This window comes from Homo sapiens, chromosome 3, assembly GCF_000001405.40.
Source record: "Homo sapiens chromosome 3, GRCh38.p14 Primary Assembly".
NCBI lineage: Eukaryota > Metazoa > Chordata > Mammalia > Primates > Hominidae > Homo > Homo sapiens.
The window spans coordinates 139796711-139811799 of record NC_000003.12 but is presented as its reverse complement, the minus strand read 5'-3'; the positions used below and the strand labels follow the sequence as shown (position 1 = coordinate 139811799).

General features: G+C 39.9%; 1 annotated feature.

Moving 5' to 3' along the window:
- Positions 13786-13986: a silencer, noted in NCBI's record as "peak4849 fragment used in MPRA reporter construct". NCBI's record gives its function as "represses an SCP1 promoter by STARR-seq MPRAs in K562 erythroleukemia cells {active_cell/tissue: K562}" and the evidence as "EXISTENCE:reporter gene assay evidence [ECO:0000049][PMID:32103011]".

The following is a 15089-nucleotide window of genomic DNA, read 5'->3' as shown; positions in this document are numbered from 1 at the left end:
ACACAAGTTTAGTTTCAGGACAGAGTGACAGTTTGGTACCTGGGGAGGAGGGGGTTGGTAATTCCGAGCCTAGCCCTTGTTCCATAGTCTAGTGGAGAAAACTTCTGAATGAGAAAACACATTCAGAAGCCTAGGCAAAGGAGACTGCAAAAACAAACAAACAAAGCAAGATGTAAATTAATGGAAGAGTTCTACACTGTTTATCTGTACTCTTTGGTTGCAAGTAACCAACACTAACTGAGGCTGGATTAAACAGGAAATGAAAATTTATTTTAAGGATGTGAGTTGGCTTTCAATACCCACAGACAAGAATGTAGCTGGAGACCACAAAGATCTAAACCAGGAATGGAAACAATCAGGAGCATGAAAGTACTGTTCCTCCATCTCTCTTCTCTGCCTCTCTCAGTGCATGGGAGACACTGTTTCTCAGAAAACTGAGCTCAAATTGTCTCTTATTTGGCCAGTGGGAGATTATTTAAGTTTCCTTCTGAATACTTTTAACACCACCCTGACTGACTCCTTGATTTCTGGTGTATCAAGATGTTTCAGGCTTACCTGGAATATTCTTTGACCCAGACATAGAGCCAGACATTTCCCCCAAAGAGTTCTGACTCCTTTTGGTTGGAAGTGATGTTTGGAGACCGCAATCTGAGTTCTAGGTGTGCTCATTGCTATTTGGTTGGTCATTGTTTCTAGATCTTTTCCAGGAAGAAAACTAGGAAATATGGTTTTAAAATATTTTATTCTTATCCAACTTTTTTTCCTGGTTAACTATGGCATTACACTTGGCTGCCTAAGGTCACTGAGTATAACTCTAGCTACACAGACTGTTTCTCTCAATCCTGCATTTTCATGGAAGCATTTGGCTCATGTTAGCTACGGGCCCTACCTTGGTCCAACTCTCTGCAGCCAAAAGAAAGGATCACACTGCAGCAGCCTGATGGCCAGGGACCTATCTAGGACAGATTGCATGGTGCAATTAAGGTAGTTGTAGTGAGCTGAGGAGGCAGCTAACTACTTTTATTAACTTGTCCAGCCCACCATGAGCACAAGGCTTCAAAAAGATGCAGTTATGACAGAGTTTTGGCAGCAGCAGAAGGCACTGCTATCCTCTGTGGCTGTGGAGAAAGTCTTCTGGGTACAGAAGCCAGGCTCCCGTCTCATGGGCATACATAGTAGTAGGTGGCACAGTGGGGACAGCCACAAGAGACGACAACACAGCTACAGCAGAAGAGAAGAAATTGAGAGGAATCTGAAGGGACTGAAGTTCCTACAGAGCAGGTGGGAGCAGAACAAACAAATTCATTTTTGTGATTGTTATTTTTGTCTTCAGGCTGGTGTGACCTCAGAAAAATGTTATATATGTACATATAAAATAGTTAACACTACATGATGCATGTGAGATGTTTGAGAACAATGAGTTTTCAGAAGAATGGTGAAGGCTGATTAGGCCTACTCATATAACATTTTAAAACTTTTATTATAGAAAATGTAAACCAGGCACTAAAGCTGACAAAATAGTAACTCCTCCTCCCAGACAGCCAGCACTCAACCCCAACAATCACCAACCTAAGGCCAATCCTGCCCCACCTGCAGTCCAACCACTTTCCTCTCCCTTCTTATTGGAAAGCAAATCCTAGACCTTATATTACTTCATCTATATACACTTTCATATTAATTACTAAAACATTAGGATATTTTTATAACAAACCCATTATCATGACTGAAAAAACCCATAATTCTTTAGTATTATCAAATATCTAATCTGTGATTAAAAGATCAATTATCTCATAAATTTTATAATATTTTAACATGTTATTTATTTGAATCAGCATCCAAATAGGATACATACATTATAATTGATGGATATGTTCTTTTTTTTTTTTTTTAGACAGACTGTCACTCTGTCGCCCAGGCTGGAGTGCCGTGGTGCGATCTCGGCTCACTGCAAGCTCCGCCTCCCAGGTTCAAGCAATTCTCCTGCCTCAGTCTCCCGAGTAGCTGGGACTACAGGCACCAGCCACCATGCCTGGCTAATTTTTTTGTATTTTTAGTAGAGACGGGGCTTCACTGTGTTAGCTAGGATGGTCTCGAAGGGTCTCTCGTGATCTGCCCGCCTCAGCCTCCCAAAGTGCTGGGATTACAGGCGTGAGCCACTGCGCCCGGCAGATATGTTCTTAAAATCTTTTTTAACCTACAGATTCCTTCTCCTTTTATTTTTCCCTCCTGAAATTATTTTTTAAAAATTGGGTCATTTTTCCATAGAGTTGACTGTGGTCTAGATTTTGCTCATTTTACCTATGTGGTATAGTTTAAAATATTTTTATATTATGTTTATATCCTATAAATTGATAATTATATCAAGTGGCTTAATCAGATTCAGATTTGATTTTTTTTTTTTTTTTTTGAGACAGGGTTTCACTCTGTCACCTAGGCTAGAGTGCAATGATGTAATCATGGCTTACTGCATCCTCGACCTCTTGGGCTCAAGTAATTCTCCAGCCTCACCCTCCCAAGTAGATGGGACCTCAGGCATACACCACCATGCCCATCTAAGTTTTAAAAAAAAAATTTGTAGAGATGGGGTCCCATCTCTACAAATGTTGCCCAGGCTGGTCTCTAACTCCTGGGTGCAAGTGACCCTCCTCCCTCGGTCTTCCAAGGTTCTGGGATTACAGGTATGAGCCACTATGCCTGGCCCTTATTTTCAAAATAATGGCAAAATAATGAGGGCTTTAGTTATCTCTTGCTAGGTAATGAACAACTCTATAACTTAGTAGTTAAAAACAACAAGTATTTATTAGTCCTCCCAATTCTGCAGTCTGGCTGGGCTCAGCTGGGTGGCTCCTCTACTGCATGTTACGTCTTCTGGGGCTGGAGCATCCATGATGGCTTCTTTACCCATTTGTCTAGCACCTCAGTGGGAATGGCTGGAATAGCTGGGGGCCTGCTGGGAAGTTTTCTCTCCATGTGGCTATTTCAGGCTTCCTCACAGCGTAATCTCCAGGTAATCAGGCTTTTTTTTTTTTTTTTTGAGACAGAGTCTGGCTCTGTCACACAGGCTGGAGGGCAGTGGTGCAATTTTGGCTCACTGCAAGCTCTGCCTCCCGGGTTCATGCCATTGTCCTGCCTCAGCCTCTTGAGTAGCTGGGACTACAGGAGCCAGCCACCACGCCTGGCTAATTGTTTGTATTTTTAGTAGAAACAGTGTTTCACAGTGTTAGCCAGAATGGTCTCGATCTCCTGACCTCATGATCCACCTGCCTTGGCCTCCCAAAGTGCTTGGATTACAAGCGTGAGCCACCGTGCCCAGCGTAATCAGGCTTTTGACATGACAGCTAGGTTCTAAGAGCAAGTTGTGAAATATGCAGAGCTCATAAGTCTCAGTCTTAGAGATTACACAGCATCTCCACAAAATCCCATTGGTGAACACAAGTACAGAGCCTGGCTCAGATCCAAGGAAAGGAGATACAGACTCCAGCTCTCTGGAGGAATGGTAAGTTTCCAACCATCTTGACGTCACTATACCTAGCATCCTCCAAAAGTGACCATTTAGGATTGTCTTATTCTTTCTTTTTATTTTTAATACTATTGCAAACTAGTAGATTTACATATATATTTGATATGCTTTAATCCTTTGCAGTTATTACTTTTATTAATGCTCAAATTGTCTCTTATTTGGCCAGTGGGAGATTGTTTAAATTTCCTTCTGAATCCTTTTAACACCACCCTGGCTGACTCCTTGATTTCTGGTGTATCAAGATGTTTCAGGCTCACCTGGTATATTCTTTGACCCAGACATAGAGCCAGACATTTCCCCCAAAGAGTTCTGACTCCTTTTAGTTGGAAATGATGTTTGGAGACCACAATCTGAGTTCTAGGTGTGCTCATTGCTATTTGGTTGGTCATTGTTTCTAGATCTTTTCCAGGAAGAAAACTAGAAAATATGATTTTAAAATATTTTATTCTTATCCAACTTTTTTTTTCTTGGTTAACTATGACATCTGCATCATCTGCTTGATGACTTCCAGGACATTGGATTTTTTTTTAGCCATGCTCAGAATGATGCCTGGTACACCTCTGTTCTATACTGACCTTTTGAATATGATTTAGGAACTAGTACATGCATTTCTTCTTAGAAGAGTTCTCATCCATGGCCTACAAGATTATTTCATCTTAACACTAACATAGCCTGGAATTCCTAGTTTCCCTAGATGGCTTTCTTGATCAGTTTTCGTGGTATGTATTTCAAAATTTTTCACTCTCTAAAACTCAGTGCCCCGTCTCCCACCAACATCTCCTTTGTTATCAGATGACCTGACAACCCCTTTTACTCAAACAATCTAAAATCCAGAGGGTTACAATCCCTCCATTTTCTGACACTCACCTAAAAACTTAATTCTATTCATATCCATCAGCCCTCTCCTTCCTTCCTACTTCTTTGGGAAGAGTGTGGAACTTTCAGGAATCTTTTGGTTGCAAGCAACAGAAAACCCAATTCATACTGGCTTAAATAAAGAAAAAAAGGCTCATCTAATTAAGCCTCCAGATATGGATTTGACTTGAGGTTAGCCACATGAGAGCGAATTTGACCTTATACTTTCTGCATGTTAGTTCCCAAATCACTTGAGTCAATAAATTGAGTTCTAAGTTGGCCCAATTAAAGAAAATCCGATGAAAAACCTCTGGTTGCTGGGGGATGAGAAACTCTCTCTTTGGACAACATGATGTGTGGATGTGAGGTTCACAGTATCAGTCATTTTGCTAAATGAGGGTAACTTGGCAGAGCTAAGACACTCAATGAATGGCAATGAGTGACAGAGTAGAAAAAATATTACAAAAATACTGAATCAGAGCCCTGATGAACTACACTTACCACTAAACATTTTTACTTATGTAATCAATGAAATTTCCTTTATTGTATAAACAAGGTTTTGTCCACTTTTCCATTAATTGCAACCCCCAAAATCTTAACTACTACAGACTTCCAAGTCTTCAGGAAATTATAGTATTTCCTTACATTTGGATAGAGCTTTAGAGTCAAAGAACTGAGACAGATTTTATCTCATGGGTTCTCCCACCAAACTTTTAGAAGCAGCTTGGCAATTCTGCCTTTATTTTATCTTATGTTAAGGAGGAAAGGATCATTAGGTATATTAATTTTTAATTGTGGTGAGATATATATATATAAAATGAAATTTACTTTTTTTTTTTTTTTTGAGATGGAGTCTTGCTCTGTCACCCAGGCTGGAGGGCAGTGGAGTGCAGTGGCACGATCTAGGCTCACTGCAAACTCTGCCTCCTGGGTTCAAGCCATTCTCCTGCCTCAGCCTCCGGAGTAACTGGGACCACAGGTGCCTGCCACCACACCTGGCTAATTTTTTGTATTTTTAGTAGAGACGAGGTTTCACTGTGTTAGCCAGGATGGTCTCGATCTCCTGACCTCGTAATTCTCCCGCCTCGGCCTCCAAAAGTCCTGGGATTACAGGCGTGAGCCACCGTGCCCGGCCAAAATTTACCATTTTAACCATTTTAAGTGGGCAGTTTAGTGGCAGTAAGTGCATTAACGTTGTTGCATAACCATCACCACCAGCCATCTTCAGAATATTTTCATTTTTCTCACTGAACTCTGTATCCATTAAATAAAAACTCCCCATTCCCTCCTCTCAGTCCTTGACAACCACCAATTCTATTTTCTGTCTCTATAAATTCAGTTACTCTAGGTACATTTTACTAGTGGAATCATACAATATTTGTCCTTTTGTGGCAAACTTATTTCAATTACCATAATGTCTTCAAGGTTCATCCACGTTGTGGCATGTGTCAGAATTTCCTTCCTGTTTAAGGCTGAATAGTATTTCACCATATGTCTGTACCACGTATTGTTGATCTGCTCCTCCACTGATGAACACTTGGGTGGCTTCCACTTTTGGGCTATTGTGAAAAACGCTGCTATGAATGTGGCTGTACAAATATTTGTTCAAGTCCCTACATTCGATTCTTTTGGGCATATGTCCAGAGGTGGAATTGCTAGATCACATGGTAAATCTATTTTTACTTTTTTGAGGAGCTGCCATCTCATTTTCCACAGCAGCTGCACCATCCTACATGCCCCTTAGTGATGCATAAGAGTTCCTATATCGCCACACATTTGTCAACATTTGTTATTTTCTGGTTTGAGGGCTCTGCTTTGTTTTGTTTATAACCTAGCTAACATAGCCTCTCTGATCAAGATATCCTAATGGGTGTGAAGCATATTCTTTTTATTATTAATAATTTGCCCACCAGCCTGGCAAGGGCACCTGGAGTGGGGGGTTACACCTCAGGTATCAATCAGTCAATTGTCTGGGAGCACAAACGTGGGACTCCTAACTGAGCATGGATTAGACAAATAGAGGTTGTTCCACAAATGTTTGTCAAAAGAATGCGTGACTGAGCAATTTATTTAAGATGAGTAACTCCCCAAAAAAGAAACCCAAAAACTTAACTGAAGAGCTGGGAAGGTGAAGTGAGTGTGAGGCTTATGGTGGGAGATGGGGCATGGGACACTAAAATGAGGGATGGGTATAAAGACAAAGGCTGGCCAAGCTCCCTGGCAAAGCTTCTAGGGACACCTGGTCTTGGCACCTGGAATCACCCCTGCCTCACTTTCCCTAGTGGTCTGCCTTTCTTTATGTCTAGAATCGTCTTTGCAGATGTGTTTAAAAGTCCCAGCCTTCTGAGATAGTACATTATAATGGGAGTGCCAGTGATGGCCATGCTTTAGTTTATATCAACAATGTGTATTATTGTGAGAGCCCTCTAGTAGGGAGTCCCTTCAAAACTCATGTGCTCTAGGTCTTTAGCTGGAGAGAGGATTTACAGGGCCCTGAATCTCAGCACACTTGCCTGAAAGCAGCTGCGGAGATTTTTCCTATGGTTGTTAAGCCTGGGGATGATCAAATTGGTACTGTTCCTATTGGGAAGATCCTGGGGTGTTAAATTCTGAGAATTTTCAGTTGCGCCAGGAACACTTCAAAGCATCTGCAAGTTTTGTCTCGCCAAGGCTGTAAAAGCAATCAGATATTTATCTAAAGCTTGTCCAAACCACTTTTGTCTGGACATGAGGCAGGAAATCTCCTGAGAAGCAGTCTCTTTGTGAAGCTTGCTTTTTCTCTCTTTCTAGGGAGGATGGAAATAGCAAACAAACAACAATGCAACTTTGATGATGTGATTTTCTCCTTAATAATCAGGCTGTGAGGAGGATCGAGGTATTGCTGTTTCCATATTCACTGCACTCTGCTCTAGAAGCCCTAAATACTATTTCTTCGACATTTCACTCCTCCCACCAGGTTCTTCCCAGAGTCATTGCTGAATCCTGATCCTTCCCTCTTCCCCTGCCCCACCTTGCATGCTCTGATCTACAACCCACCCAGCAGCAGCCAAGTGAGTCCCCCAGGGATATGTGGGCACCCCAGTCCTTCTGGTGAGGAAAGAAAGTGGGAGTGACTCCTGCACCCGATATCAAAGAATCCAAAATATCAAGTGAATTGTTGTTCTGTAAAACAGACTTTTTCTGGCCCAGATGGCTTCACTGGAGAATTCTACCAAACACTTTAGGAAAAAATAATATCAATTACATAAACTGTTCCAGAAAATAGAAGAGACAGCAGTTAAGAAAAAACTACATGCAACAACATGGATAATCTCAAAAGCATTATGCTAAGTGAAAGAAGTCAGCACAAAGGGGTCCATGCCCTATTATTCCATTTACATGATAGTTTGAAAAAGAATTATAGCAACATAAATCAGATCAGTCGTTTCTAGAGGCTAGAGATGGTGGGGGAGATTGGATGCAAAGGGGCATGTGGGACCTTTTTGGGTGATGGAACTGTTCTATATATTGATTATAATGATGGCTATGATTGTATGCATTTGTCTATATTTATTTAGCTATATACTTTAATGGGGCAAATTTTACTGTATTAAATTATACCTCAGTAATGCTGACTTAAAAAGTTAAAAAAGGAATCCCTAGTTTTCAAAGCATTAAATTTTAATTTATTTGAAAGTGGCATTAAGAGAACACATTTGCATTTATTATTAAATATATGCCTACATGTGTATATTTACATAAGTGTGTATGTATATGTGTGTACACACACACATGTGTAGATGTTTATTTTTTTCTTCTCATGCTGCCATGTTACCACATCATCCCCACTGCCAGGAGTAAGAACAGCTTCTCAGCTGACCCCCCATCTCTGGCTGCCCCTGCTGTCATCAGTCGTCTTTGTCTCAGGCAGGTGAATGTTTCCCAAGCTCTGCTTTGTTCGTAGATACAGCAATGACTCAGCCAAGGCCACTGCCCTCAGGAAGCTTACAGTTTAGCAGGCAGTGAGAGGATCCCTGCCATAGATGGGCAACGAACTTGTGAATTCTGTCATCTAAAATAATAGAGGTGTTGTGAGATTCAAGTGAGATATGTGTGAAGTGCTGAGTGCATAGTGAACCCTCAACAAACATAAACTATTTTTGGTACTTTTATCAGCATTTCTATTGATTTTATTTACTATCATCAGGCTCCACTTGGCTTTCCTGTGTTGCTAGGCACCATTTCCTAGAAATAAATTAACCCTGTCAGATATTTATCTAAAGTCATCTCCTTACGTAGAGACATACATAGGAGGCAGAGGGAGTCTTACGTTGTGTATTGAAGTATGAGGCCCATCAAGTAGTAATCAGTTTTTTCTTCTGACATGGGTTCTGGCATCATCTCTATTGTTTCAAGTCCGGGAAATGCCAGCATTAGTCAACATGTTTCAATTATTCAATGAATATTTAATAAGCACTTAAGATATTTCAAATACTCTTTCATGCGCTGGTGATACGGCAGTTAACAAAACAGACAAAACTCCTTGTGGATGCTGCTTTTTAATTCTAGCCCAAAGTGATCTTTTTAAATATACATATATATGTATATATGTATATGTATATATATGTATATGTATATATGTATATATACACATATATACATATGTATATATGTATGTTTATATATATGTGTGTATATATATATACACATATGTACGTACGTGTATATATACATATATACGTATGTATATATGTATACATACTTACATGTATGTATATGTATATATGCATACATACTTACATGTATGTGTACGTATACATATATGTATGTATGCATGTATACATACTTACATGTATGTATATGTATATGTATACATACAGATACATATACATATATGTATACATGCAGATACATATGTGTATCTGTACAGATATGTATCTGTATATGTATATGTATATACATACATACATGTATGTATATGTATATTTGTATATACAGATATGTATATGTATATATGTACATACATATATATACATATATATATATGTATGTATTTTTTACTAAAAGAAGAGGTGAAGATCTATGGGACATCTCTTGACCTTTGAGTTTAGAAGCTCCCCAATGTTGGGTAGAGAAGGACAATAAAAGTATGGATGAGAAAGCTTAGGAGAGATTCCAAGCTGGAGCAATGAGATGAAACTAAAGAATCACTAAGCACAATGGTTGAACTAGTTTACAGTCCCACCAACAGTGTAAAAGTGTTCCTATTTCTCCACATCCTCTCCAGCACCTGTTGTTTCCTGGCTTTTTAATGATTGCCATTCTAACTGGTGTGAGGTGGTATCTCATTGTGGTTTTGATTTGCATTTCTCTGATGGCCAGTGATGATGAGCATTTTTTCATGTGTCTGTTGGCTGCATAAATATCTTCTTCTGAGAAGTGTCTCTTCATGTCCTTTGCCCACTTTTTGATGGGGCTGTTTGTTTTTTTCTTGTAAATTTGTTTGAATTCATTGTAGATTCTGGATATTAGCCCTTTGTCAGATGAGTAGGTTGTGAAAATTTTCTCCCATTTTGTAGGTTGCCTGTTCACTCTGATAGTAGTTTCTTTTGCTGTGCAGAAGCTCTTTAGTTTAATTAGATCCCATTTGCCAATTTTGGCTTCTGTTGCCATTGCTTTTGGTGTTTTAGACATTAAGATCTTGCCCATGCCTATGTCCTGAATGGTATTGCCTAGGTTTTCTTCTAGGGTTTTTATGGTTTTCGGTCTAACGTTTAAGTCTTTAATCCATCTTGAATTGATTTTTGTATAAGGTGTAAGGAAGGGATCCAGTTTCAGCTTTCTACATATGGCTAGCCAGTTTTCCCAGCACCATTTATTAAATAGGGAATCCTTTCCCCATTTCTTGTTTTTCTCAGGTTTGTCAAAGATAAGATAGTTGTAGATATGCGGCGTTATTTCTGAGGACTCTGTTCTGTTCCATTGATCTATATCTCTGTTTTGGTACCAGTACCATGCTGTTTTGGTTACTGTAGCCTTGTAGTATAGTTTGAAGTCTGGTAGTGTGATGCCTCCAGCTTTGTTCTTTTGGCTTAGGATTGACTTGGCGATGTGGGCTCTTTTTTGGTTCCATATGAACTTTAAAGTAGTTTTTTCCAATTCTGTGAAGAAAGGCATTGGTAGCTTGATGGGGATGGCATTGAATCTATAAATTACCTTGGGCAGTATGGCCATTTTCACGATATTGATTCTTCCTACCCATGAGCATGGAATGTTCTTCCATTTGTTTGTATCCTCTTTTATATCCTTGAGCAGTGGTTTGTAGTTTTCCTTGAAGAGGTCCTTCGCATCCCTTGCAAGTTGGATTCCTAGGTATTTTATTCTCTTTGAAGCAATTGTGAATGGGAGTTCACTCATGATTTGGCTCTCTGTTTGTCTGTTATTGGTGTATAAGAATGCTTGTGATTTCTGTACATTGATTTTGTATCCTGAGACTTTGCTGAAGTTGCTTATCAGCTTAAGGAGATTTTGGGCTGAGACAATGGGGTTTTCTAGATATACAATCATGTCATCTGCAAACAGGGACAATTTGACTTCCTCTTTTCCTAATTGAATACCCTTTATTTCCTTCTCCTGCCTAATTGCCCTGGCCAGAACTTCCAACACTATGTTGAATAGGAGTGGTGAGAGAGGGCATCCCTGTCTTGTGCCAGTTTTCAAAGGGAATGCTTCCAGTTTTTGCCCATTCAGTATGATATTGGCTGTGGGTTTGTAATAGATAGCTCTTATTATTTTTAAATACGTCCCATCAATACCTAATTTATTGAGAGTTTTTAGCATGAAGGGTTGTTGAATTTTGTCAAAGGCCTTCTCTGCATCTATTGAGATAATCATGTGATTTTTGTCTTTGGCTCTGTTTATATGCTGGATTACATTTATTGATTTGCATATATTGAACCAGCCTTGCATCCCAGAGATGAAGCTCACTTGATCATGGTGGATAAGCTTTTTGATGTGCTGCTGGATTCGTATTGCCAGTATTTTATTGAGGATTTTTGCATCAATGTTCATCAAGGATATTGGTCTAAAATTCTCTTTTTTGGTTGTGTCTCTGCCCGGCTTTGGTATCAGAATGATGCTGGCCTCATAAAATGAGTTAGGGAGGATTCCCTCTTTTTCTATTGATTGGAATAGTTTCAGAAGGAATGGTACCAGTTCCTCCTTGTACCTCTGGTAGAATTCGGCTGTGAATCCATCTGGTCCTGGACTCTTTTTGGTTGGTAAGCTATTGATTATTGCCACAATTTCAGATCCTGTTATTGGTCTACTCAGAGATTCAACTTCTTCCTGGTTTAGTCTTGGGAGAGTGTACGTGTCCAGGAATTTATCCGTTTCTTCTAGATTTTCTAGTTTATTTTCGTAGAGGTGTTTGTAGTATTCTCTGATGGTAGTTTGTATTTCTGTGGGATCGGTGGTGATATTCCCTTTATCATTTTTTATTGCATCTATTTGATTCTTCTCTCTTTTTTTCTTTATTAGTCTTGCTAGTGGTCTATCTATTTTGTTGATCCTTTCAAAAAACCAGCTCCTGGATTCATTAATTTTTTGAAGGGTTTTTTGTGTCTCTATTTCCTTCAGTTCTGCTCTGATTTTAGTTATTTCTTGCGATTCCTCAGGGATCTAGAGCTAGAAATACCATTTGACCCAGCCATCCCATTACTGGGTATATACCCAAAGGACTATAAGTCATGCTGCTATAAAGACACATGCACACATATGTTTATTGCAGCATTATTCACAATAGCAAAGACTTGGAACCAACCCAAGGGTCCAACGATGATAGACTGGATTAAGAAAATGTGGCACATATACACCATGGAATACTATGCAGCCATAAAAAATGATGAGTTCATGTCCTTTGTAGGGACATGGATGAAATTGGAAATCATCATTCTCAGTAAACTATCGCAAGAACAAAAACCCAAACACCTCATATTCTCACTTATAGGTGGGAATTGAACAATGAGATCACATGGACACAGGAAGGGAAACATCACACTCTGGGGACTGTTGTGGGGTGGGGGGAGGGGGGAGGGATAGCACTGGGAGATATACCTAATGCTAGATGACGAGTTAGTGGGTGCAGCACACCAGCATGGCACATGTATACATATGTAACTAACCTGCACGATGTGCACATGTACCCTAAAACTTAAAGTATAATAATAAAAAAAAAGAAAATTAAAAAAAAAGAATCACTAAGCAGGCTAAGAGGAATAAATGCGAAGTGTTTATACAACCTTCAAAATCCAACTCAGACTTTAAGAGGAATATAGCAAACATTTTTGCATGCAGAAAAAAACAACGAACAAGAAGGTGAAAAGAACTCAAAATAACACAAGGAATAGACAGAATTAAACTCAGGAATGAGGGATGTGATATCACTCCTCAATTACCTGAAGGTAATTTCTCCAATTGGAGAACGTAGTAAGGCTTGTTCTGTATAGCCCTAAAAAGTGGGATCTACACAGAGATATATTTTGGCTCAAAATAAAGAGGAAGCCTCTTACTATCACAGTAACCTTAATATGGAATGAACCACCTCCATTTGGAGTGAGTTCCTCATTCCTGGAGGTGTTGAAAATGCTGTAGATGAGTTTCTACTTTGCTCTGAAAGGGTGTCTATTAAAAATAAACCTCCTGGTATTCATTGTGTACTTACTATGTTCCAGGCACATGATTCTACTTCTCAATCTGGGTCTACTGAAGGAGACACCAAATTACCCAACAGAGTAATCAGCGTAGTGCCAAAAAGGTGTACGGGCAGGGAGAGCACAGCTCCTAACTCAGCATAGGGGTCAAGTAAATCTTCCTGCAGGAGGTTTCCTGAGCTTGGCTTCCAATGATAAAGAGGAATCAAGCAAGGAGTCAAGGGCCAGAAAACAGTTGGACTAAAATTAGTGGCTTTCAGGCTTGCACCATAGACCCCTAGGATATTCACATGGACTCTTGAGGGGTTCCTGGGGGCAAGACTATGTGGCTGGAGTTTTAAACATTTCCTATACTTCAACCAAAGCAGATAATTTTAATCTATTATGTACCTTGGGACTCCACTTAAGATTTTCAAATAAGTCGCCTGCATTTTAAAACAGATCACAAAAATATTAATTCAGTAAACCATGTCCCAGAGATTGTGTCTCCTAACCTGGGTATGCTTTTTATAGATTATGACTCCATATTGGAAGTATGGAGGTAGTTTACTGATGGGAAGAGGTCCCATAGAGCCCCAGACTCAACTAGAGCCTCCTTGTTTCTGCCATTCGGTCATGCTGATGGGTGCTGGCATAATGCAGTGAGACCAGAAGAAACTGACTTAACTTCTTCCTCTGAGGAGGAGCCTGTGGCTTTAGAAGGGAAATAATAACCACCCAATATAACCAAGATGCTAAGCCATAACATGGTTTTCTGAGCCCTCACTCATCAAGCTGGAAAAGATGCTTCAGCACCAAGGACAGCGCTCATAGCCGCGGCCCTGACAGAAGACGCCAACTTCACCTCCTTAAGGCCTGGTCCTGTGTCTCTCGAGGTATAGGAATCCTGGTTTTACACTTAGGTTTATTTTGGTTCTAATCTCGCTAGAAAATCAGACTCTGCTGCACTTAATCATTTCTCATTTAATTTGAGCCATCTCCTTTGATTCTGAGGTATAATTAGCCTTAAGCATGCTAAATATAAAGGTACACTACTCACCTTCAGCACGTGATCAATGAAAGAGAGCTGAGAAAGGGGTCCTAATCTACATTCTTTACTAAATGCAAAGAAAGCATTCAATAAGCCACAGTTCGGGAAGTTGATCTTTTGACGGTAAGAGGGGAGTCTGGGGGAGGGAATGTTCTCACAGGTCAAGGTGAAAGTCCACAATATTGCACTAAAGAGAAAATGATAAATTATTAATTGTCATAAGGAGATAGTCATGAGTGAGTGGAAAATTGGGGTCTTCACCCTGGGTTTCCACGGCACAACATGATTGGTCAGAGGCAGGGACACTCTACACCTGGCCCATCTTGAAGTAAGGTTAGGTCAGAGGCCTGATCTTTGGCCACCTTCATTTCCCCATATCATGGCGAGACAGTGTATAATAGTATGATGGGTGCTTGGATCTACCCTCAAACGCTTCTCAATGTAACACCCCTGGCCAGTCACTTTAATTCTCCAAGCTGCAGTTTTTCATAAGTAACATCAAGATAATATCCTCCTTCCCCAGACAATCATTGAAGGATTCAATGAGATAAGTTGTATAAAAGCACCCAGCACAGTGCTGGTGCATAGTAAGTACCGAGAAATATTAGATGCCGTCCTGTGTTCTTGCAAGGAATTGATTCTTTGCTGAGTGAATTGATATGGTTTCTAAGTGGCTTATTAATGACTGCCCAGAAAGCATAAGCCTCTCTCTCCATCTGCTCATTTTCCACAAAAGTAGACAGACAGGTTTGTGCCAGGTCCTCAGCCCCAGTTTCATCTAAACTGGCCTTTGGCAACATCAGCTCCACATGCTCCAGTGAAGTCAGAAACAGGTCAGTAAGTTTTGTGTAGGGGTCCTCGATGGCCTTTCCAAATTGCAGATTTCTCAATTACAAAGGAAATGAGCCTGAAAAAATATCTATAGCTTAATCATTAAATGTGCTTTTGCTGAAGACCAAAATCCATAGCTTTTCCTCGCTTAACTAGAAAGTGA